The sequence below is a fragment of the Homo sapiens genome, chromosome 15 (assembly GCF_000001405.40).
Source record: "Homo sapiens chromosome 15, GRCh38.p14 Primary Assembly".
Lineage (NCBI taxonomy): Eukaryota > Metazoa > Chordata > Mammalia > Primates > Hominidae > Homo > Homo sapiens.
Window position 1 is genome coordinate 40,146,000 of NC_000015.10, and position 25,176 is coordinate 40,171,175.

At 45.3% G+C, this 25,176-nt stretch overlaps 1 protein-coding gene across 1 annotated transcript in view, besides 4 other annotated features; it reads left to right on the forward strand.

Annotated features, from left to right (window-relative positions):
* Positions 11,470-12,330: an enhancer, noted in NCBI's record as "H3K27ac-H3K4me1 hESC enhancer chr15:40449670-40450530 (GRCh37/hg19 assembly coordinates)". NCBI's record gives its function as "activates a minimal SCP1, AML or CMV promoter by ChIP-STARR-seq in primed H9 embryonic stem cells {active_cell/tissue: H9 hESC(primed)}" and the evidence as "EXISTENCE:reporter gene assay evidence [ECO:0000049][PMID:30033119]".
* BUB1B (BUB1 mitotic checkpoint serine/threonine kinase B) overlaps positions 15,070-25,176 on the forward strand; it is a 60,055-nt gene continuing 49,948 nt past the window's right edge. The window contains exons 1-4 of the mRNA NM_001211.6: positions 15,070-15,256; positions 19,054-19,197; positions 24,063-24,122; positions 24,538-24,682. Coding sequence (NP_001202.5) covers positions 15,222-15,256; positions 19,054-19,197; positions 24,063-24,122; positions 24,538-24,682 — 384 coding nt within the window. The 5' untranslated portion in view covers positions 15,070-15,221. The remainder of the gene's footprint in view (positions 15,257-19,053; positions 19,198-24,062; positions 24,123-24,537; positions 24,683-25,176) is intronic.
* Positions 15,204-15,303: an enhancer, noted in NCBI's record as "active region_9236". NCBI's record gives its function as "activates an Ori minimal core promoter by ATAC-STARR-seq in GM12878 lymphoblastoid cells {active_cell/tissue: GM12878}" and the evidence as "EXISTENCE:reporter gene assay evidence [ECO:0000049][PMID:35858748]".
* Positions 15,324-15,453: an enhancer, noted in NCBI's record as "active region_9237". NCBI's record gives its function as "activates an Ori minimal core promoter by ATAC-STARR-seq in GM12878 lymphoblastoid cells {active_cell/tissue: GM12878}" and the evidence as "EXISTENCE:reporter gene assay evidence [ECO:0000049][PMID:35858748]".
* Positions 15,461-16,225: an enhancer, noted in NCBI's record as "NANOG-H3K27ac-H3K4me1 hESC enhancer chr15:40453661-40454425 (GRCh37/hg19 assembly coordinates)". NCBI's record gives its function as "activates a minimal SCP1, AML or CMV promoter by ChIP-STARR-seq in primed H9 embryonic stem cells {active_cell/tissue: H9 hESC(primed)}" and the evidence as "EXISTENCE:reporter gene assay evidence [ECO:0000049][PMID:30033119]".

Here is a 25,176-nt window from a genome sequence, read left to right on the forward strand (position 1 = left end):
ACCCAGAAGAATACGCTACTGGGATCCTTTCTTTTTTTCGCTTTATTCTGATGGCAATTGCTGAAGGGGAAGAGACATGGCCCAGTCTTGGCATGGGCAATGTGGGTGTTTTACTGTAGGCAAAGAAGGCCCAGGATTGGCTGTGGGGCACCTCGGAGAAATAGGCCCTGAGTACCGGTTCAGGTGTGGACTCTTCTTACAAAGGGCAATGCAGAGAGGGCCGAGCAGCAAGCAAGAGCATGACTCATTATGACTTGTCTTGAATTCTTGTCATTTCTAAGTAGAGGGCTCTGCCTGCTTCTTTTCAATCAGGTCTGCTTTGATGGGTATAGATTTGGGTACAATCTTAAATCTAAAAACCTCCCTGATGCAGGGCTAAGTCAGGCCCCTCACTCAGTATCTGCACAGAGCAGTGTATTCATCAGGGTTCTTTTAGAGGGACAGAACTAATAAGGAGAGAGATATATATGTGTGTGTTATATATGTATACACATATAGAGAGAGGGGAGTTTATTAAGTATTAACTTCCATAATCACAAGGTCCCACAATGGGCTGTCTACCAGCTGAGGAGCAAGGAGAGCCAGTCCAAGTCCCAAAAATGAAGAACTTAGAGTCTGATGTTCGAGGGCCATAAGCATCCAGCACGGGCAAAAGATGGAGGCTGGGAGGCTGGGCCCATCTCGCTGCTTCACTTTTTTCTGCCTGCTTTATATTCACCGGCAGCCGATTAGATGGTGCCCACCCAATTAAGGGTGGCTCTGCCTTCCCCAGCCCACTGACTCAAATGTTAATCTCCTTTGGCAACACCCTCACAGACACATCCAGGATCAATATTGCATCCTTCAATCCAGCCAAGTTGACACTCGGTGTTAACCATCACGGGCCGGATCAGAGAATCATGGGATTTTAGAGTTCGTAGGCCCTTCTTGTGGCCCAACACTTTCTCTTTATGGTAAGGAAACACCCCAAACTCAAACTCTGGCATCGTGCTCCCCTTACTCTGGAGCTTAGACCCCTAGTATAGACTGCTCCCCAGTCCCTGTAGAAACCCGCCTCGAAGCCCTCAGCAAGGCAGCAGGGATAAAGAGAAAAGGGGTACAGCTTCTGCCTGGGGTGGAGGGTCAGGGGTGAGGAAGGCTGGTTGATCAGCTTTCAGGCCATTCTCAGAGGCCAGTAGGCAGGGCTGTGTGCCTGGAGATCCAGTCCCCAAGGAGCAGAACCAGAAGGAAGGCCGGGGCACTTGGCTGCTGAGAATGGTGGAAATTAACCTGGAGTGTGACCCCATCCCTAGAGTGATGGAAGGCCAGCAAGAGTGGGGTCCGATGGATACCGCCCCCCAAAACTTAGACAGGCCATGTGTCTGGATTTGCTTAGGACGGTCCCATTACATAATATATAACTTTTATCTGAGCATAACTATTAGAGGTTCCCCTTTCACTACCCAAACTATCCTGTTTCAGACAATATTTCTATGGTCACCCCAGTGTAACTCCAAGACTTTGACCACCAAGGCTAAGAGGTGGGGTTGCTGAGCCCCTGTCCTGGCCCTGTGGGGCCTTCCTTCTTTGCCGCTCCTCTGCTCCGAATCATTCTAGATATACCTCCAGGATCAAGTACAGGTAGGAATCGGGTTCCTGTGGGGAGATCACTCTTCTTAGAAGCCCTAGAAGCTCAGCCTGGCCCCAGGGCAGCTCCAGAAGGGTAGGGAAGGGAACTGGAGGCACTCTGGGGCTGACTCAACATCTGAGATGGCTGCAGATGCCCCTTGACTGCACCCAAGCTCCAGCCAGGCCTGTTCTAAAGCTGACTGAAAGCCCCTTGCTGGGAAGGAGCAGGGCTTGGGACAGGGCACCCACTTCCAGAATATTTGCACCATGAAGTTACACTTTCCCCTCATGGGATGCGGCTGAGGAGGCAGCAAGGACTGTATAGTGCTGAATCTGAACTCGGGAAGGCCAGGACACTACCCCAAGGCAAAGTAAATTAACTAATTTTAATTAAAACTACAATAACACTGTTCATTGACTACTTCTATGGTTGCACGCTGCCTTTCTTTACCTGCGGGCTAGCTCTACCATACTTCAGTTACAGGTATCTGACGAGGTTATATCCCAGGGAATTACATACCAGACTTGCCTTCCCATGGGATCTCAATCTGGGCCTTTGCCTCTTGCCATGGTTTGAATGTCCCCTCCAAAACTCATGTTGATATTTAATTGCCCTTGTGATGGTGTTAAAATGTGGGACCTTTAAGTGGTGATTAGATCATGAGGGCTTTGGTCTCATTCATAGATTAATACCTTCGGAAGTGGGTTCATCATCATGGGAGTGGTTTCCTGGTGAAATGATAGGTTCAGCCCCATCTCCTCTGTCTCAGGTTCTCATTTCCACCTTCTACCATGGGATGATACAGCATGAAAGACCTAACCAGATGCCAAGACCCAACCAAGAGCCCTATGCTCTTGGACTTCCCAGGCTCTAGAACCACAAAGCAGATAAACTTCTTTATAAGTTACCCAGTTTGTGGTATTCTGTTATAGTAGCAGCAAACAGACTAAGACACCTCTGAATGAGCCACATTTTCCTCCTTTCATGTATGCTAATTGGGGCCTCAACTTCCCTGTCTCTCTTCACCATCACACACTGCTCTCCAAGGTGGGAGGCTAACTTTATTCCACACCTGAAATGTTCCTATGTTCCAAGTTTCCAGAGGGTCCCTAGGCCTCCGGGAGGGCTCTTACTGCAGCAGGTGTGACAATGCCCAAGTCAAGATGGTGGGTGAGGACCGGGGCTGGTGCCTCTGCTTAGCTGAAGAGTCCTCCACTGAGCTTTTGGCTGGTCGTGGCAGATAGTTGAGAAGAAGGCCAAATTGCAACTGACAGTTGAGCACCCTTGAGAACTGCGCTCCTAAGGACTTTGTAGAGCAGAACCACCATGCCAGGCAAGGCCTGCCTACCTGCAGACATTCACTTAAGAGAGAGTTGGCCTTTGTTTTATTGAAGCCATGGTTATTTTGTCTGTCTGTCTACCACAGCCAAACCTAATCCTAACTGATATCGCTATGTTAAGATTTACTGTTTACACTCCAATTATTTCCAAAAAGAATGAGACAATTTACAGCAAATGAAAAAGAAATGACAGAATCATTCAAACAAGCATAAATGAATAAGAGGCACATAATAAAAATGGGGTGACAGTTATTCCAGAAAATGTGAATTGGGGGTCATTATTATAGCCATGTGCAATTTTTCACATCTAACTTCCTAGCAGTCAAGTGAAATAAGGAACACCGGATGACTTACAGACTCCTTATTATCCGTGCGGGTGGTGAAGGAACAAGATTCTAGTCCTGGGGCCATCTTACAAAGCAAACCCATTGTTATCAATAGCATCACCCCACAGCAAGGATGTGAGTTAGAAACATGCACTGGTTGGTGTGCTGTGTCTTCCCCACTTGCCCCACCTGATTTACCCTCCGCTCTTCTCTCAACAGTGTCCTGGAAGCACTGTGCCCATCATTTCTTTTCTCCTCTGACTTCCAGTTGGTTTGGCCAGTGGGGGTCCCTGGCAGGACATCAGAAGGCGGGAGGGGAGACTGGTCATTAACGCTCCCGTGGTGCCATGCTTGCCAGTGGCTGCCTTCCTGACACAGCTTTTGTCAGGCTCTCTCATTGCTGTAGTCTCTCAATGGGCTCCAGGAGCAAATCTTAACTCTCTTCCCATCAGAACTAGGGGTAGCAGCTTCCCCTTGTTGCCAGTTTCTAAGTTCTTCACTATCCATGTTTGTTCCCTTTAATCCCATCCCTTCCATAGTAAATTTTCCCTTCATTTATTTATTTCACGGACAGTGAATCATTGGTTTCCTGCTAGGACCCTGATGATACAGATGGTGTCTCCGTTAGAAATGAATCTGGCTTCCATAACAGCGAGCCTTACAAACAGTGGCTTAAGCAAATAGGTCTTTTTATCCACATTATGAGAAGTCTGGGGGTGGTAGTTCCAGGATGGTGCAAAAGCTCCATGATGCTGTCATAAAGCCAGGCTCTCCCTTTCCACTCTCCTTTCCCTTAACCTGTTGGCTTTTGTCTTTCTGCCTTCACCTCATGGCCACAAGATGCTGCCCAGCTCTAGACATTCCACCTATCTTCAAAGTAGGAAGAAGGGCAAAAGGGCCATGCCAACCATGTCTCTTCTGCCCCAGTCTTCTCCAGACTTCCATTTGGGTCATACCTGGATCACAGGACTACTCCTGGATGCAAGGGAGGCCGAGAAATCGGGGAACACATTTGTCATGACTGAGTTGGGCAAATCATGACTCATTGCTCGGGGCACTCCTGGCACATTGCCATCCCAACCACTCACTCTGTTAACAAAGGAGAGCAGGGAGAATTGGTTTTGGGCAGGCCATGAATACTAACAGCTGCAGTGAAGCTTCCGAAGGCTGGGGAGGCAGCCTGTGTACAATGTGACAGTGAACAGAAACTGAGACAAGCTGGTGGAGAGCCGTGTCTGTACCCAGAGATAGGTTTTAGGGATACACTGTCCCTAAAACTACCTCATGCCCAGTTCCCCACTTTAGTGAGAATGATCAAGACCACAAGGTGTAGAGACAAACCCTAGACACAGTCAGAAGACTCCTCTGGAAATCTTCCACAGCCACCTTAGCATTTCTCTCTCCCTCCTCCACGTGCCCCGGCTTCATATGATACTCCTGCTAAGTCTCTGACCCCACTGTGTTGCAATTATCTTTCCACACAAGGCTGTCCTCACCCACTAGACCAGGGGCTACTTGGGGACAGAAATTCTGTCTTGTTTGTATTTGTGATCCCTTGCCCAGTTAGTGCCTGACATAAAATAACAATAACAAATGCTCAATAAGGGCAAGGCGCGGTGGCTTATGCCTGTAATCCCAGCACTTTGGGAGGCTGTTGCAGGAGAATTGCTTGAGGCCTGGCAGTCAACATCACCCTGTGCAACATAGCAAGACCCTGTCTCTACAGAAAAAAAAAAAAAAAAAGCCTGCAATGGTGGTGTGCATCTGTGGCCCTAGCTACTCGGGAGGCTGAGGCAGGAGCATCACCTGAGTTTGGGAGGTAGACTTTGCAGTGAGCCATGATCATGCCACTGCACTCCAGCCTGCGCAACAGAGCAAGACCCTGTCTCCAACAAAACAAAACAAAAACAAAAAACCCCACAAATGCTCAATAAAGATTTGTTGACTGAGCAACTGATTGACTAAATAAAGGAATAGGAGTTGGGTTGTGCTCTCTATCCTAATACACTGGGTGACCTTGGGCAAATAACTTTTCTGAACCTGGGTACTTCATCTGTCAATTGGGAGAGTTGCACTAGAACATCTCCAAGACCCCTTCTCGCTCTGACATTTGGTGATTTTTAACTCCCACCGTGAACCACAGAACTCCCATTTCTGGAGTTATTTATTTGGTTTGAGGCATTAGCTATCCAGATATTCTCTGTTAAATTGTATATGCACCATATGAGGACGTTATTCAAATAAGAATTCCATCAGCATCACTGAGGAAAAATCTCTGGTGTTATGATTAGCAGGTCTTAGAGTGAATTTTCTTGAGGGAGTGAAGCGTAGAGAGAGAAGCTTTAATGTGGATAGGAAAGTCTGAAGTGAGATATACCGTCCAGTTACTCTGGGACTCGTTGAGATCCTGCAACAGGAGACAGGGAGCCTGAGTAACTGGAATGTAGGTGACATAAGGACAGTGGGGAGTTATGGGGGCACAGAAAGGTGCCAAAGAAAGTGCCATTCGTTTGTTCATGTCTGTCTAGCAGAATAGCTGAACATGAACGAGCCAGGCTGTGTGTTGCAGAGGGGCATTGGGGCAGGGGTGGAGCAAAAAATCATGCTTTGCTCCAATCAGGGTGGCCAGAGGACCTGATGGGAGACTCCTCTGGCCAGGTTGTCAGTGTGTGGCCTGCGGCCATCTGTCTTCCACAGTGATACCCCACGGGACAGACCTTAGGGTCCCTGCATGGCTGAAATGGAACAAAAGAGGGAAGAGCCTGTCACTTTTTCATTTAGCCTGTACCTTCCAGACCCTTCCTCCGCCACGGCATGCAGGGGAGAAAGTCACACACAAGGCGAGTGGCATTCTTCCCAAGGTGCATACTTTTGCCTTTTTGCATAACCTGTCATGTGCGCTCCCCCTCATAGATATTTTTGCCATGAGTAGAATGGTATTAATTTATTACTAGTCATCATCATGAGTAATTCACTTTTTTGTACACCTCAGGTACATTGGATGAACCACAGTCTTTGGTCTATAATCCTCTCTTTTTACTGATCCAGGCCTGGCCCATCTTTGTGCTTATTTGTGTTTAATTATTTATTTATTTCAAAATAATATAAGAAACACAAACTACCACCCAGGGCTAGAACTAAAATATGAAGCAGACCCACATGTACCTATGTGCACCTCGTCCGTTCTATCCCTCTATCTGTTATCCTGCTACTCCACATAGATTATTATTATTTTATTTATTTGTTTATTTTGAGACAGGGTCTCACTCTGTCGCCCAGGCTGGAGTGCAGTGGTGTGATCTCAGCTCACTGCAGCCTCGGCCTCCTGGGTTCCAGTGGTCCTCCCACCTCAGTCTCCTGGGCAGCTGGGACTACAGGTGCATGCCATCATCTCCAGCTATTTTTTTAGTTTTTGTAGGGATTGGGTTTCGCCATATTTCCCAGGCTGGTCTTGACCTCCTGGACACAAGCAATCCACCTGCCTCAACTTCCCAAAGTGCTGGAATTACAGGCATGAGCCACCACACCCAGCCTAGGTTTTTTTTTTTTTTTTTTTTGAGGCAGAGTCTTGCTCTGTTGCTGAGGCAGGAGTGCACTGGCCTGATTTCTGCTCACTGCAACCTCTGCTGAATCCTCCACCTCCTGGCTGGGTTCAAGTGATTCTCCTGCCTCAGCCTCCCAAGTAACTGGGACTACGGGCGCGTGCCACCATGCCCGGCTAATTGTTGTTGTTGTGTTTTGTTTTTGGTTTTTTTTTTAGACGGAGTTTTGCTCTTGTTGCCCAGGCTGGAGTGCAATGGTGCGATCTGGGCTCACCACAACCTCCACCTCCCAGGTTCAAGTGATTCTCCTGCCTCAGCCTCCCTGGTAGCTGGGATTACAGGCATGCGCCACCGCACCCAACTAATTTTGTATTTTTTGTAGAGACAGGGTTTCTCCATGTTGGTCAGGCTGGTCTCGAACTCCCAACGTCAGGTGATCCACCTGCCTCAGCCTCCCAAAGTGCTGGGATTGCAGGCCTGAGCCACCACGCCCAGCCAATTTTTGTATTTTTTTTTCTTTTTTTTTTTTAGAGGGAGTCTCACTCTGTTGCCCAGGCTGGAATGCAGTGGCGTCATCTCAGCTCACTGCAGGTTCCGTCTCCTGGGTTCTCGCCATTCTCCTCCCTCAGCCTCCCGAGTTGCTGGGACCACAGGCGCCCACCACCATGCCTGGCTAATTTTTTGTATTTTTAGTAGAGACGGGGTTTCACCGTGTTAGCCAGGATGGTCTCGATCTCCTGACCTCGTGATCTGCCTGCCTCGGCCTCCTAAAGTGCTGGGATTACAGGCGTGAGCCCTCGCACCTGGCCCAATTTTTGTATTTTTAATAGAGACGGGGTTTCGCCATGTTGCCCAGGCTGGTCTCGAACTCCTGAGCTCAAGTGATCCACCTGCCTCGGCATGCCAAAGTGCTGGGATTACAGGCGTTAGCCACTGAGCCTGGCCATCAGCCTAGATTATTTAAAAATTTTGATCTCGGCCGGGCGTGGCGGGTGACGCCTGTAATCCCAGCACTTTGGGAGGCCGAGGCGGGCAGATCGTGAGGTCAGGAGATCGAGACCATCCTGGCTAACACGATGAAACCCCGTCTATACTAAAAATACAAAAAATTAGCCGGGCATGGTGTCGGGCGCCTGTAGTCTCAGCTACTCAGGAGGCTGAGGCAGGAGAATGGCATGAACCCGGGAGGCAGAACTTTCAGTGAGATTGCGCCACTGCACTGCAGCCTGGGCAACAGAGTGAGACTCTGTCCCAAATAAATAAATAAATAAATAAATAAAAATATTGATCTCTTAAACTGTGTGAGCTATGAGACCGTGAGCCTGTGTGAGGCTTGTGAAGGATCACACCTACTACCACAGTTTATTCACCAGGACCTGAGCCAGTGCTTCTAAGTCCTAACTGGCTGAATTTGCTTATGCCTAGAGGGACCAGAACCTCAGTCAATGACACATGTTCACAGCCTTGTGGCTGGAGTCCCCAACTTGCAGTGAAGTAAGATTGTCCACAAATGTATTTCACATTGTTTTGAAATTTCACCTAAGCTAGGGTGTCTCAATTTCGGCATTACTGACACATTGGGCTGGGGAATTCTTTGTTGTGAGGGGCTGCCCTGACCCTTGTAGAATGTTTAACAGAATAACTGGCCTCTGCCCAGTAGATGCCAGTAGCACTCCCAGTTCAACCAATTCTGCAGATAAAGTTTCCCCAAAAGACAATGCCCCTCCATAAAAGAAAATACAAGCACATTTGTATTGTGGGGCCTAGCTACATAACCTGTGGGCCTCAAACTAGCAGCCTGAAGGATGCCTGGAAGGTCATTAGAAACGGAGAATCTCAGGCCCCACTCAGACCTAGAAATCAGGATCTGCCTTTCAGCAAGATCCCCGGGTGATTCATCTACACAATCAAGTTTGAGAATCACATTCATGGAGTTTATACAAACCGCACATCTGTGTGTGACTAGAGTGGGCCCAACTGTGTTTCTCAAGGGTGGGAGGGGGATTACTGCCATTTTGGGTGGGACAATGCATTGTTGTGTGGGATTGTCCCATGCTTTGTGGGACAGACTATCCCATCCCCATTAAATGTTCACAATGCTCCCCAGTGCCCAAGACAAGTAGACATTCCCTCTAAGACTCTTGGTGGAGTAGAGCTGCCCTGAGGTGTGAACTCTGGAAGAGGAGAGTCCCTCCACTCTTAAGACCTTGGATGAATGCAATTTGCCTGACAATAGGACTGCCTGTCTACAGATGGGTCTGGGAGGAAAGGAAAGATGCAGAAGTTAAAACATCACAGTGCTCTTCATCACGGCTTCAAGGGGTTAGGGGCTTGCTAGGAAGTGCCAGGTTGATAAGTACTGGCCAAAGGGGAGCCAGGGCCATGAGCCTGGCATATCCCAGGCAATGTCCAAGCTAGGAGCATTGAGGAGTGGAACAGAGGAGATATAGGAGCCCTCCGGGAGAAGCAGGAATTACAAAGTGCTGCCCAACCAGTCAGACCAGCTGGGCCGGTTCCCCCTGAGTCCTGGCAGCCTTAACGGGCTCATTAGAATAAAGCCAATGATTGAAAACAGTTTGGCATCCCAGAGCCTGTCTGGGGAGAGGAAGGAAATGCATACAGGTGGGTGAGGTGCCCATTCTGTGCCCCACCCCCTTCTCACCTGCAGGCCCTTCCCAGAAGTGGGAGGAATAGGTGGTTCCACAGCTGGGAAACTTGAGAGCTCAGTGGGATAAGCCCCTGCTTTGACAATGCAGCTGGATGCCCGCCCTGGGCTCAAAACTGAAGGGGCTGGGTTTGCTCCCCACCTGCTGCTTGTCAGGCACAGTGAGTCAGGGTCTCATTTCAGGTCCTCACAACTCTCCTAGGCTCCTGCCATTGCAACCACCTGCACTTCCCCAGATGCCGAATGCACTCTCACTCTCCTGCCTCCTAGTCCTTCCTGTGCTATTCTCTCCACCTGGAAAGCCCCTTCTCTCTTTTTAGTAACTCCTACTCATTTTTAAAGACCCCTCTTGGCAGCAATCCCAACCTCCCTTTCTCTTGTTCTCTCAGCCCCCATGCTTGGGTGTGGGAGGGCCCCCATCCTCTTTCAAGTTCCCCTAACTCCAGGCTCCTGCTGGGGCTATAGCTCATAAGCTGTTATATCATAGATTGTTTTGTTTTTCTTGAGCATAAGACTGGTGCTTTTTTCATATTTATATCTCTGGTGCCTGGCACAGCACCCGACACAAAATATTCAAGAAATGTTTGTCAAATGAATGGTGGACATCCTAGAGTGCTTGGTCCAACAAGGTCATGTGCTAGCTATTCTCTTTTGTTCATTACTGTCAATCAGTCAGTTAACCAGTATTGATTGAGTACCTGCCTCGGGCCAGGTCCTAGGGATGAAGAGTTAGAACCCATATTCTCATAGCTTTTCTACACCAGTGAAGAAAACAAGGCTAACTGGAGCCTTTGACTGCTAGAAAGAGGTCAACTGGTCCAATATCTTTGTTTACCACTGAGGAGGAAGGCGCAGCCTGTGGGTAGACGGATGGGCCTCTCTCATGCTCGTCTGTGTAGTGGGGTCTTCCTCATGTCAGCTGCCATAGGTAACTCATATTCATTGTTGGGAGTCTGTTCCAGGCACACATCCCACAGCTGGCAGTAGTCAGCCTCTCAAATGCCACATCTTCCTCATTGACAACAAAGGGAACCAGAGCTAGCAAGAAAAAAAAAAGCCTTTTCTCTTGGAATGCCCACTGCCTTCTATAGCTGTGTTAGGCCATTTTTGCATTGCTCTCAAGAAATACCTGAGGCTGGGTAATTTATAAAGAAAAGAGGTTTAATTAGCTAGAGATTCTGCAGGCTGCACAGGAAGCATGGCGCCAGCATCTGCTTGGCTTCTGGTGACGGAGGCCACAAGGAGCTTTTACTTCTGGTGGAAGATGAAGAAGGAGCAAGAGAGAGAAAGGGGCGTACCACATACTTTTAACGACCAGATCTCAGGTGAACTCAGAATGAGAACTCACCATTCACCAAGGGGATGGTACTAAGACATTCATAAGGGATCTGCCCCAGGATCCAAACACCTTCCTTCAGGCCCCATCTCCAACAATGGAGAAGCCTCTTTCTATGCGAGATTTGGAGAGGACAAACATCCAAACCATGTCAATAGCTCCTTACAAAGGGTTTGGACGGAAAACTAGAAATAGGCTCAGATAGATCCAGAGAGGTTTGCAGCCCTCCATGCCATCTTTGGCTGTTAGGAGATGATGTTTCTAACTCTGCTTGTCTGGATTCTGTTCTCCCTGCTTTAGCTTGGGAGCCCGTGTTGGAAGAAAGGCACTGAAATGCCTCAGAGCAACAAGTGTCAAAGACCTACATGGAGAGCGGAAGCTTGTGGTTGTCTTGGCTCAAGAGGCTGGGGTTGGCCAGGCACGATGGCTCATGCCTGTAATCCCTGCACTTTGGGAGGTCGAGGCAGGCAGATCACCTGAGGTCAGGAGTTCAAGACCAGTCTGGCCAACATGGTGAAACCCAGTCTCTACTAAAAATACAAAAATTAGCCAGGCGCCTATAGTCCCAGCTACATGGGAGGATGAGGCAGGAAGATCGCTTGAACCTGGGAGGTGGAGGTTGCAGTGAGCAGAGATTGTGCCACTGCACTTCAGCCTGGGTGAGAGAGTGAGACTGCATCTCAAAAAAGAGGCTGGGGTTCTCATCTTTGGTATGTTCAATCATCCCAGAGGTGAGCCTGAAATTCTAAAACATAAAGAGTTCCTCCAAAGTTGCTCTGGGCGGGTCCCAAATTCAAGTTTCCCACTGGCCCTCAGTCTCCTAAGGTTGTTTTAAAGGGAGAATGTTGGCCAATTCTGACTGGGACCCACACCTCCAGGTAAAACTTTAAAAGGACAGCCTTTAGAGAAGAAGGCAGAGATGGGAAAGAGGTAAAACAGCTGTCACCTCTCTTAATTCTAACAATCTTCTCGCACCTAGCTGTAGCCAACTTAGTTCCCACATTCAGCGAAGTTAAGTTGTTTCCAATCATTTGGCCCCTCCCAGCCTGGGGGCCTCTGACCTCTGGCCTTTCTTTGGAAAAGCAATGCAGAGTCCAGATCTGCAGGAGTAGCTCCCAGCTGGGCCCCCGAGAAGGGAAGAAGCAAACTTTCCACAGTTTGCACCAAGACCCAGGAGGCAATGTCAGAGAGGAAGTGAGGAAGCCTGCCTGGCAGAAAAGCAATGGCGGCTCAGACATATCCACCCACAGACACTCCATTCTCCTGCAAGTGTCCCCACAATGGATTGGCTCTGCCAGGAGCCATCCCTACCCCCATTCAGCTATCTTAGAATTGTCACCTCCTGAAATAAGGACAGAACATTATGTAACCCATTTCCTCAGGCCTCAGACCTATGGAGTCACATGCACTAGTCAGGAGAATCCCATTGGCTCTTCCATAGGGCCCCAGGGCCGCTGCACACAGGGCTTTGTGTGAATTAGAGAGAGGAGGCCTCTCTGGGCACTTTTGAAGGTGCCTTCTCTGAGTAGAAAAAGCAGAAAAATGTCCCCATTTGCGTGACAGGCACTCTCGGATGCAGCAATATTTATGCAACTGTATGTGTGGCACTGAATGAGTCCCTCCTTTTGAAGCCTTCCCTAGGTGGTCTGGGTGTTTTCAGAGCATCTGCCATGTTCCTCCTGTCCTGCTCAAGCTCTCTCTGGTTGATGGCCTCTGTCTCCAAGGCTACTGGAGGACATCTTGCTTCTGCTGGTGTCCACTGTGGGGTGCTGATGTCTGGCTCCAGGGAGGGCCTCCCTGTGCTCTCAGAATGGCCAAGTGAGGCTGTGCCCTCGGCGCCTGGGCACGAAGGCAGTGCTGTTGGAGGCTGGCATCACACTGAACCAGCTTTTTTTTTTTCCTTTTTAGAGACAGTCTCACTCTGTTGCCCAGGCTGGAGTGCAGTGGCATGATCACAGCTCACTGCAACCCCCGCATCCCGGGTTCAAGCGATTCTCCTGCCTCAGCCTCCGGAGTAGCTGGGATTACAGGCATGCACCACCACACCCAGCTAATTTTTGTATTTTTAGTAGGACGGGGTTTCACCATGTTGGCCAGGCTAGTCTTGAACTCCTGACCTTAAGTGATCCGCCCGCCTCAGCCTTCCAAAGTACATAGAACCAGCTCTTAAGGCCACTGCCTCAGGCCCTCACTCCACAAAACCGTAAGTCCTTGGGACCAGGCCAACAAAGGGTCACAATCCAAGGTGGATATCCTGTGCCCCACTCACTCCAGTTCCCCCAAGTCCACAGACAAACCCTGCTGCTTTCAGCATTCCTCTTCCTCAAAGGCAAACCTTGCTTGCTGGGAGCTCCACCCATCAGTTCATGGGACATCCCTAAAAACTCATTTTCCAAATTAAACCACAGAGTACCTTCTGTCATACATTTTGGAGTTTTGTTTTACCTACCTCCTTCTTTTCCCGTAGTGAAACAAGCAAGGGGTTTAGCCTGAATGCATTCTACATCGTAGCAGAGTTTATGGGGAATCCGACTAGGTTATAGGAAAGACTGAGATCAAAAGACCAAACACTACGTTTCCAAGATTGTTTGTAGGAAATAGTCAAAATTGAGAAGCTGTAGATATGAACAGGACACCCTGTTGAAAGAAAATGAAGTGCTAGGCCAGTACTGACATAAGGTAAGAGATAAAATGAGCCAGTGAGAGAATCCCACGCACCACACCTCATATGATCCAGGAAAGCTTCCTGGATGTGGAGGACTTTGATGTAAAGAGTAACCAAAATTTCCTATGAGGAATCACCCCTTCCCCTCTCTCAGTCCCAAGGTGAAACACATGACTTGGTTCTGAACAATCAAAGCCCTGAATCCACTATCCCCAGTGACTGTTTGGGAGGAAGGGGTTAAGCAGGGTGACTCCTAAGTCTGAATTTGAACCTGTAAGGATAAAGTCGTGAATCTGTTACCCAATGGAGAATGACAATAAGCCAACAACAAGAGTAGAGGCGAGAAATGGAGAGAGGCCCAGTCCACATGAGTCCTGGGTTAAGCTTTATCTGAAGTCTTTTATATATAAAAGACAGTAAATTCCCTTTTCTGAGTAGGCCGATTTAAGTTGGATTTCTACTTCTTTGGAATCAAGAGTCCTGATGATTCAGAGGAAAGAAGGACTTATATAACATGAACAAAGACAGAAAGCTGGGAACTAAGAACCAGAGGGTAGTGGACAGTATCCTCAGCATCTGCCTCTGGGAAGTGCCACCTCTCTGACCATCCCCACAGTCATAAAGGAGAACTCCCCTGTACCTGGGCTTTCTTAAATGACCCTGTTCCTTCCTCAAGGTGGCTAATGCCTGTAATCGCAGCTACTGCGGAGGCTGAGGTGGGAGGATCACTTGACCCCGGGAGTTGGAGGCTGGAATGCAGTAGCCCCATGATGGGGCTACTGCACTCCAGCCTGGGCAACAGAGCAAGAAGAAGACCCTGTCTCTAAAACAAAACCAACCAACCAAACAAACAAAAAGACTCTACTCCCCTGGTCACATCTGAGCTATCACAATTTCTTCCTCAGAAAATTGAAATTGCAACAAACAGTTTAATGTCAGTCAAGGCTAGTCCCCTGAAGGGGAAAAGAGGTAACACCTTGGGAACCATAGCATGGCTGTGTTTACTGCTTGTGGACTGAGCAGAAGAGAAAGCAAGACAGTATCATCACTTTATAGATGAGGAAAACTGATGGTCAGAAAGATTATGTAGCTTGCCTAAGGTTGCACATTTGGTATGATTTTACAGAACTAGAATCCAGCTTTTTGAATTCAAGGGTGGGGCAGGAAACAGCTAGGTCAGTGGCCTAAGAACTCCGGACGGGTGAGATTTGGGGCAGACAGCAGGGGTAGTCACCCTACAAGAGTCACGCCAAGTGCAAGCACTCAGAGACATCTCCCAACACTCAAAACAGCAAAGAAGTTCTGGTGCTTTAAGTGTTCCTCGCTCGGCTCAGAGACTCGGCTTCGAGCCGCGACTCAAGACAGCACCTGGGGGTATTTGTTTTGCCTAAGCCTGCTGCACTTCCACGGCCATTGAATCCCAAAAACTACAATTCCCATTATGCACCGCGAGTTCGCGGACTAAACAGGCATAAACTACAAGCCCCAGAATGCCTTGGGCGAGACGCGAGAGCACGGAGGAGCGGAGGGGCGTGGCCACGTCGACCGCGCGGGACCGTTAAATTTGAAACTTGGCGGCTAGGGGTGTGGGCTTGAGGTGGCCGGTTTGTTAGGGAGTCGTGTACGTGCCTTGGTCGCTTCTGTAGCTCCGAGGGCAGGTTGCGGAAGAAAGCCCAGGCGGTCTGTGGCCCAGAGGAAAGGCCTGCAGCAGGACGAGGACCTGAGCCAGGAATGCAGGATGGCGGCGGTGAAGAAGGAAGGGGGTGCTCTGAGGTAGGTACGGGAGAAAGCTGCTGGGGGCTGGGCCTGAGAGGACACGGCCTGGTAGGTAATAGAAGGCTCCGCTCGGAGCAGTCGAGGGGGAGATCGGCACCGTCAGAACAGACCCCACCGGAGCCTCCTTCCTTTTGGAGTAGAATGCCGGAGGTGGAGGTGAAAACGCAGTGGACTGAGGGCACGTGCGAATCCTGCCGCATCCAGCTTCAAAGCGAAGAAGGCTGCGGGACCCCAGCGGAACAAAGAGTTTGGAAGTTGCAATGTTGTCTGTTTGTAACTCAGCTCAGCCACCTGCTAGTTGTTTGACCTTGGGCAAATCGTTTGTATGGAAAATGCTGATGTTAATGCTGCCTTACGTGGTTCTGGGGGAATTCAAAGTATTTGTTAAGTAACTGCTTCCAAATAAGCGCTCAACAAATGGCAGGTGCTATGCCAATAGCACAGAGATCTGAAAGCCTTTAGCCAATATCATAGAGATCTAAATTATGCCAATAACATAGAGATCTAAAAGCCTTTTTCTGCATGTTTGCGGCTTTTCCTTGTATTAAAAAAACTATATTGCAGTTCTAGGTTGGAAATCTGTATGTGTTTTCACTGTGGTGCCCGCAATACCTAGATAAGTGCTATGTCATGGGCTCTTTCATTCATGTAACAAGTATTTTTTTGGCTAAGCTCTGAGTGCAGCAAATATACAGACACAAAAATCTCAACCCTCATGAAGCTTAAGTTCTGGCATGGGATGAAGGTGGGGGAGTCAGACAATAAAGACAAACTGTTAGGTGGAGATGTGGTCAGTACTAAAAAAAATAATAAAGCAACTGGGTGTAGTGAATATTGGGGGTGGGGATTGGTGCAATTTAACTTGAACACTGGAGTCTCACTGAGGAGATGTCACTTTGGTCAAGACTTGAAGGAATCTCAAAAGCTAGAGGTTCTATATCTGAGGAGAGTACAAAGGCTGAGGGTGAGAGCTAGGGGAGGAAGTTGCACCTGGCATGTCCAAGGCCATTGTCACTGGAGCAGAATTAACTAGAAGAGTAAAAGGATATTATGTAAAAATGGTGAAGATGCAGATTGTAAGGACTTAGCTTTTACTCTAGTTGTAATCAAAAGTCATTGGAAGGTTTTGAGCAAAGGAAAGACATAATCTGACTTGGGTTTAAATGGGGTCACTTTGGCTGTAGTGTTGAATACACTAAAGGCAGCAAAGGATGGAAGCAAGGGACACCAGTTAAGAGGTTATTGAAATAATTCAGCTCAAAAGTGAGTTGAGCCAGGTGGAAAACAGTGGAGATGATGATAAGTGGTTGATTTCTGTATATATTTTGAAGGTAGAACCAGTAGGACTTGCTGACTGACTGAGGGGTATGAGAAGGGCATCAAAGTTGGCACTAAGATTTTTGGCTTGGGTAACTGAAGAATGGGATTGCCATTTATTTGAGAAAGAGGAAGACTGTGGGAGGAGCAGGTCTGGGAGGAAGTGGGGGCAGTCTTAGCTCAATTTGGGATATTTAACTGAGATAGTGTAATTCACTATTTTTAAGAGCAAGAGAAGAAAGTTCAGATGAATTCAACAAACAGGGCATAATAGTGTTATATCTCGTATTAGATCATGGGCATACAAAAATAAATGGCATAGCCCTTACCTTTACAGAGTTCACACAATATAGAGCAGGTCCTGGTATAACATCGTTTCGTTATAATGTTGATGAGAAAAAAAATCAATTCATTGCGGGGCTGCTGTGTATGTGGAGTTTTCATGTTTTCCGCATGTCTGCATGGGTTTCCTTAGGTACTCCAGTTTCCTTCTACATCCCAAAGATGTGCCTGTTAATTGGCGTGTCTAAATGATCCCAGTCTGAATGGGTGTGAATGTGATGCTCCCTGTGATGGAGTGGTGTCCTGTCCAGGGTTGGTTCCTCTCTGAGTTGCTGAGATGGGCTCTGGCCACCCTCAACCCCGAACTAGAATAAGTGAGTTGGAAAATGAATGAAGGAATGAATACAAATTACTGTAAAATAAAAATCTGTAAAGGCTGGGAGCGGTGGCTCACACCTGTAATCCCAGCACTTCGGGAGGCTGAGGCAACAGGATTGCTTAAGCTCAGCGGTTCAAGACCAGCCTGGGCAACATAGTAAGGCCTGTCTCTATTTAAAAAGTTTATATAAAGTGTGTATGATAATCATATAAATGCATGACAATAAACAATGCCTTATGAAAGTGCCCAGCATGCCCACTATAGTGTTACTATTTGTTTTTTGAACTTTGTGGTGGTAGGAGGTACTTCTTGAAATTTTCACTCTCAAACATTTATTCCTTGAGTTAACCCACCAACACTATGACTGCAGTCATTCACTGATTCGCCAAAAATTGGGTAAATGATTATTTTTTGTTTTCATTAAATGTTCTTAAGTGTACGGATAGCTCACATTTATTTCAATATTTAGTATTAAAAATGTTTGTTTCGAGTCTTTATTCAGAAGTTTGGTGACGTTTTTGTGACCAGAAATATGCCATAGGAACTTAACTTTTGTTTATGTCGATCAGCCTGTGGTAAAATTGGTTTTGTTACATGTCATTTTGATTAAAGTCATAGTTTCCAAGAAGCTGTCTCCAACGAGTTTTCAGTGCTCATCTAGACTGAAGTCACATATAACTTTCACTCTATTTCAAAGATTAGTGCCAATGTGTCTCTCTTTTTGTTTTAAGTCCAGAGGTAATGTCTCTTAGAAATAGTCTTCTATCTAACCATTGCAGGGCTCTGAATTGCAGAATACGTAATGGGAATTACCTCCAAAACGTTTCGGGGGTTTTCTCAGTAGGCTTGCTAGAATTGGGTGTGAGGATGCAGGGAATTGTGACTAGTAAACTGTGTTTGTTTGCTTCTGCTTTTAGCTACTTATATGTACAAACTTCAGTTTTGAATCATCATTGAAACATGGGACATTAGTCTCACCCACACTTTGCTAATTTTAATGTTTTTTTTTTGAGACAGGGTCTTGCTCTGTTGCCCAGGCTGCAGTGCAGTGGTGTGATCATGGCTCACTGCAGCTTCGACCCCTGAACCCAAGCAATGCTCCCACCTCAGTCTTCTAAGTAGCCACGACCATGGGCGTGTACCACCACGCCTGGCTAATTTTTCACTTTTTGTAGAGATGGGGGTCTTCCTATGTTGCCCAGGGTGGTGTTGAACTCCTGGGCTCAAGCACTTCTCCTGACTCAGCCTCCCAAAGTGGTAGGATTACAGGCATGAGCTACCACATCCGGCACTAATTTTAAATTAAACTAGATGATGCATTCAATGGTAGGCATAGAATTACTTGTTGCCTTTTTGTCTACTTTGCCAAATTTATAACACTTTTGTTCCCTTCTTTTCTTTCTGCCTTAAGCCCTATTCATTTTTCTTTTTTTTTTTTTTTTTAAAGAAAGAGGCAGGGTCTTGCTATGTTGCCCAGGCTGGTATCAAACTCCTGGCTCAAGAAATCCTCCCACTTCGGCCTCACAAAGTGGTGGGATTACAGGTGTGAGCCACCGCACATAGCCATGCCCTATTCTTATAGTACTGTCTACGATATCCTTGCCAAGTTGTCTTCTATCAGGCAATACTGTAGCCATAAACTTGAAAAACAGCTAACAAAGAAGCTTAGGCATATAATAATAATAATAATTATGTGTCAGTCCACTATATTCAACCCAAGACCATGAATAATCACCTTTCGGAAGACATTTACAATAATCTAGTGCTATAATAGTCAATGTTGGTATGAGATTTACATTTGTTTCCTTCTTCACAGTGAAGCCATGTCCCTGGAGGGAGATGAATGGGAACTGAGTAAAGAAAATGTACAACCTTTAAGGCAAGGGCGGATCATGTCCACGCTTCAGGGAGCACTGGCACAAGAATCTGCCTGTAACAATACTCTTCAGCAGCAGAAACGGTGTGTAGAATGGCTGAGTCTCAACCTGTCGTCATTCATCCTAAATGTTGTAGATAACGTGGGTGTGGATCCATGAGAGATGGCATAATGAGTACTTTTCAAAAATTGGTAGTATGAGAATCTGTTCTCTACCTGCTTTCGTATCACATGACAGCTATCTGAAGATGTCCTCAGGTATAATTAAGAACAAGGGCTATAGGATTTCATTTCACTGTGGTGCAGCGAAACTCTTTTTATCAATAGAAATACATTTTATACAGGGGGCAGTGATAAGCATAGTAAAGCAAGTATTATATTGCAATGCTTCCCAAAAGTATTATGTTAGGAACTTATTTTTGAGAGTATGACAAAAAAAGAAGTGGTCTCCAAAGACATGTAAACCTCAGAACAATTGAATTTATACCAGAAAGTTCTCAATAATTTTAACAAACTCTGGATAAATAAAAGCTGAAAAATACTCTTATGTTATTCAAATGGACCTGTGGATCTCCTTTAACTAATACATGTTTTGATAAATATGCTTTTTAAAAAAAAAGGTAAATCAGAGTATCAGTTTCTACCTTCAATCTCTGACAAAAAGAAATACTGCCATTACTGGCAAAATATCATAATTTGGGATTATAATGCAATGACTATTCTTATTCATCTCTTTGGATTTTTTTTTTTTTTTTAATATGACAGGGTCTCCCTCTATCACCCAGGTTGGAGTACAGTGGCCTGATTTCAGCTCACTGCAACCTCTGCCTCCCGGTTTTAAGTGATTCTCCCACCTCAGCCTCCCAAATAGCTGGGATTACAGGCGTGCGCCGCCACGCCTGGGTAATTTTTGTATTTTTAGTAGAGATGGGTCCTTGCCATGTTGGCTGTGCTGGTCTTGAACTCCTGAGCTCAAGTGATCCGCCCACCTTGGCATCCCAAAGTGCTGGGATTACAGGCGTAAGCTACCGCACTCAGCCTCATTCATCATATTTTTTCATGTTACATGCATCAGTAGATTGCTCTTTTTATTGCTGAATAGGATTTCATTTATTTATTCACCAATTGATGAATATTTAGATTCTTCCAGTTTTGTGCTTTATAAATAATGTTGCTATGGACATTCTTGAACAAGGCTTTTTGTAGACATAATTTTCTCTCTCTCTCTTTTTTTTTTTTCTTTTAGAGACGGAGTCTCGCTCTTTCGGCCAGGCTGGAGTGCAGTGGCACGATCTTGGCTCACTGGAAGCTCTGCCTCCTGGGTTCACGCCAATCTCCTGCCTCAGCCTCCTGAGTAGCTGGGACTACAGGTGCCTGCCACCACGCCCAGCTAATTTTTTCTATTTTTTAGTAGAGACGGGGTTTCACCGTGTTAGCCAGGATGGTCTCGATCTCCTGACCTTGTGATCCACCCGCCTCAGCCTCCCAAAGTGCTGGGATTACAGGCGTGAGCCACCGCGCCCAGCAGTAGACATAATTTTCATTTCCCTTGGAGTGGAATTGTTGGACCATAGAATAGATGTATGTTTAACTGTTGAAGAAACTGGTTTACCAAGGAGGTTGTGACATTTTACATTTCTACCAGCAACTCATGAGAGTTCATTTGTACCAAATCCACTCCAGTATTTGGTGTTGTCGATCTTTTTCGTTTTAGCCATTCTAGTTTTGTGGAGTTGTGTCTCATTACTTTGCATTTCCCTGGTGACTAATAATGGTGAACGTTTTTTCACATGCTTTTTGGCCTTTTGTATATCTTCTTTTGTGGTGTATCTGTTTAGATATTTTGCCCAGTTTTCAAATTGTGTTGTAGGGGTTCTTTATTTACTTTTCCCAGGAGTATAGATTCAAGTTTCCCTGATTCAAGTTTCAGGAGCATAGATTCAAGATTCCCTGAATCTATGCTCCTCAGTAGGGGTTCTTTATAAAGTCTCTATACTAGTCTTTTATCAAATATATGTGTTGCAAATTTTTTTTCCCTCACCCATGGCTGTTTATTTTCTGGGTGTTTTTTTTTTTTTAAACTGCTTAGTTTTAAATTTTGATGAAGTTCAATTAATTAGTATTTTTCTTTTATGGTTAGCATTTTTTGTGTCCTCTTCAGGAGACTTTTGCCTACCCCAAAGTGACAAAGTTACTCTCTTATGTTTTCTTTTACTAGCTTCATTTTAGCTTTTTTTTTTTTTTTTTTTTTTTTTGAGACGGAGTGTTGCTCTTGTTGCCCAGGCTGGAGCGCAATCTCAGCTCACTGCAACCTCCGCCTCCCGGGTTCAAGTGATTCTCCTGCCTCAGCCTCCTGAGTAGCTGGGATTACAGGCACGCACCACCACGCCTGGCTAATTTTTTGTATTTTTAGTAGAGATGGGGTTTCCCCATGGCCAGGCTGGTCTTGAACTTCTGACCTCAGGTGATCCGCCCGCCTCGGCCTCCCAGAGTGCTGGGATTACGGGCATGAGCCACTGCGTCCAGCCAAGCATTATTTTAGCTTTTATGTTTAGGTGTATGATTTTTCTTAAATTTTTCCTTGTATATGGTGTGGGGTTGGAGTAAACAAGTTTTTTTCCTCTCATATGGGTTATCTTTCTAGTTGTTCTGCCTCATTTGTTAGATTTTTTTTTTTCCTTTCCTCACTGAATTGCGTTGGGGCCCTTTTCAAAAATCATTTGACCACATATGTGTGGGTTATTTCTGGACTCTATATTCTGTTCCATTGATCAAATTGTCTGTCCTTTCACCAATAAAATACACTGTTTTGATTAGTTTTACATAGCAAGTCCAGCAGAGTGAGTTCTACAGCTTTTGTTCTTTTCAAAATTGCTTTAGTTATTCTTGGTCCTTTGCCTTTGCAAACAAAGTTTGAAATCATCTTGTCAATTTCTAGAAAAGAGCCTACTGAAAAAGAAAAAAAAAAAAAAAGGCTGGGCACGGTGGCTCAAGCCTGTAATCCCAGCACTTTAGGAGGCCGAGGCAGGCGGATCACCTGAGGTGAGGAGTTTAAGACCAGCCTGACCAACATGGAGAAACCCTGTCTCAACTAAAAATACAAAATTAGCCGGGCGTGGTGGCGCATGCCTGTAATCCCAGCTACTCGGGAGGCTGAGGTAGGAGAATCACTTGAACCTAGGAGGTGGAGGTTGCAGTGAGCCGAGATTGTGCCATTGCACTCTAGCCTGGGTAGCAACAGCGAAATTCCGTCTCAAAAAAAAAAGAAAAGGAAAAAGAGAAAAGAAAAGAGCCTACTGGGATTTTGATTACATTGGTTTGAATCTATAGATCAATTGGTAGGATTGCTGATTTTTATCAGTAGTGCCTTAGATTTTATTGTTTTACCATTTCTGCAGATAATCTCATTATTTCACACTTTAATTGCCATATTAGCCTCATAACTGTGGTCCCTTCTTCTAATGCCTGGCTATCCTTATAAAGTTGCTTGATTAATCTTTCTGAAATCTTATATTTAAGATGCCCTCCAATTAAAGAACCAATAGTGGCTGGAGTAGATGGAATCCAAAGTCTTTAAATTTACATTTAAAGCATGTGCTTCTTACTTCTCCAGGGGTCTCCATTTGCTCTCGGTACTGACTTTATGTTATAGCTTAGGGTTCACTCACCTTCCTTTGGATGAGCTCTTCCACCTTCGTAATTTTATTCAATATTAGTTTCCCTCTGTCTTGAAAAAACTGTTTTTCTTTCAAATTCCATGGTTCTTTCAGAGTCTCACCTTCTGAGGCTGCTTCTGTGATACCTCCTTTTGACTTAAAGCCTTTACTATCCATTCTTGGCAACTGTAATTTAGTATCCTGCTTTGTATTACTAGTTCATTTTTCATTTGTGTACTTTGTTTTTCTTATTAGAGTATAAATTCCCATGTGTCAGGGACTAATTATTTTTAGATCAAACATAACTGCTTATCCAATTTTTATTAATCATTATCCAAATTCTGGCTTATTACCTAATTCTTCCCCTCTATTCTAACTGGTCAGTCTTAATTTGGTCTTAGCCCTCTGCCTTTCCCAGCTTTTTATAGTCATATTTTACCCTTTTTTTGAGGTATTCTCCAAATTATTTATAGTATTATTCTTCTCTGACCAATGTTACCCATGGAAGTTTTTTTTGAACTTTAAAATTCTTATTTATATATTTGTTCATGTGTGTAAACCCTTTACATTTAAGACTAGTCAACCTAATAAGAAAGTACTATTATTATCCCCATTTTACAAATGAGGAAACTGAAAACAGAGTTTTAAGTAGCTTGTCCGTGTTACTCAGCTTGTGATTGGTGGAGCTGAATTTGAATCTAGGTTGTCTTGTTCCAGAGTTCTTAACTGCTGTGTAGTATTAATACTACTTTTCTGTATGTTGTCTTGAAATTTGTTTCTCTAATTTCTATATATTTTCTCTCTCTTCTTATGTTAAGTAGAATCTTAATTATTTCTATTCTTTTTTTTTTTTTTTTTTTTTTGAGACAGAGTCTTGCTTTGTTGCCCAGGCTGGAGTGCAGTGCTGCAATCTCTGCTCACTGCAGCCTCTACTTCCAGGTTCAAGTGCTCTTCCCACCTCAGCCTCCCGAGTAGCTGGGATTACAGGTGCTTGGCACCACACCCAGCTAATTTTTGTGTTTTTAGTAGAGATGAGGTTTCACCATGTTGCCCAGGCTGGTCTCAAACTTCTAACCTCAAGTGATCCACCCCACTTGGCCTCCCAAAGTGTCGGGATTACAGGCATCAGCCACCATGCCTGGCCTTTTTCTATTCTATAACAAACCCATAAACTCTAGTGCAATAATTTAGATCAATATTACCTACTTATTACATGAATAAAAATGGAAGTGATACTTGTTCATTGGCTGTTGTCACTATTGCATATGCTAACTTTTTCTGTTTACATTTCAGGGCATTTGAATATGAAATTCGATTTTACACTGGAAATGACCCTCTGGATGTTTGGGATAGGTGGGTCTTTTTATTTCACAAGGACAATAGAAACATTAACAGATAAGTCCTTATGGCCATGTTTCTCAAATTGGGGTATATGGAGTGTGTGTCAGAGTAGACAGTGGTGTCCTGGGGGCACAGAGATCCAGAATAATCATAATATATCTTCCTGAGGTGTTTAAGATTCAAGAAATTTCAAGTTTATGATGTACAACTTTGAACTACACCCTTCTATCCCTATCCTCAGTTTTCCCCAGAAGCATGTACTAGAGATACTTTGGAGAAGTTTGAGGGATACAGGCTTAGGGTATGTCATTGAGGACCTCAAAAGAAACATACTTTACTTCTGCTAAAATCCAGAATGGGTCTTGGAGCAAGAACAAAAGTACATGTTCAATTTAAAATGTGTTCTTATCTTTTTCCTCCCATTTAGGTATATCAGCTGGACAGAGCAGAACTATCCTCAAGGTGGGAAGGAGAGTAATATGTCAACGTTATTAGAAAGAGCTGTAGAAGCACTACAAGGAGAAAAACGATATTATAGTGATCCTCGATTTCTCAATCTCTGGCTTAAATTAGTAAGTCTTTCTCAAGTGCCATCTGAGTTTTAAATATTAAACTAAGAGATTTTCTCTAGAGGTATCTGGTATACCAAAAAAAAAGTAAAACAGCCATTTTGAACCATTTAGTAGATTGGAAACATTTAATAAATATGCAATACTTCTTAAATTGGTTCTACTTAAAGGTGGACTTAAATATAGTATAATAAGGTATTTTCGCCCTTTTAAGATTGATCGCAAAGTCTGTAGATCTCTCAGTGAGTATGGATTAATAATTTATTTTATATTTTGAAACAAGGTCTCACTCTGTCACCCAGGCTGGAGTGCAGTGGCTCCATCATGGCTCACTGCAGTCTAAACCTCCTGGGCTCAAGCAATCCTCTCGCCTCAGCCTCGTGAGTAGCTGGGACTACAGGTGCTGTGCCATTACGTCCAGCTAATTTTTTAATTTTTAATAGAGATGACTTCTCTCTCTGTTACCCAGGCTGGTCTTGAACTCCTGAGCTCAAGCC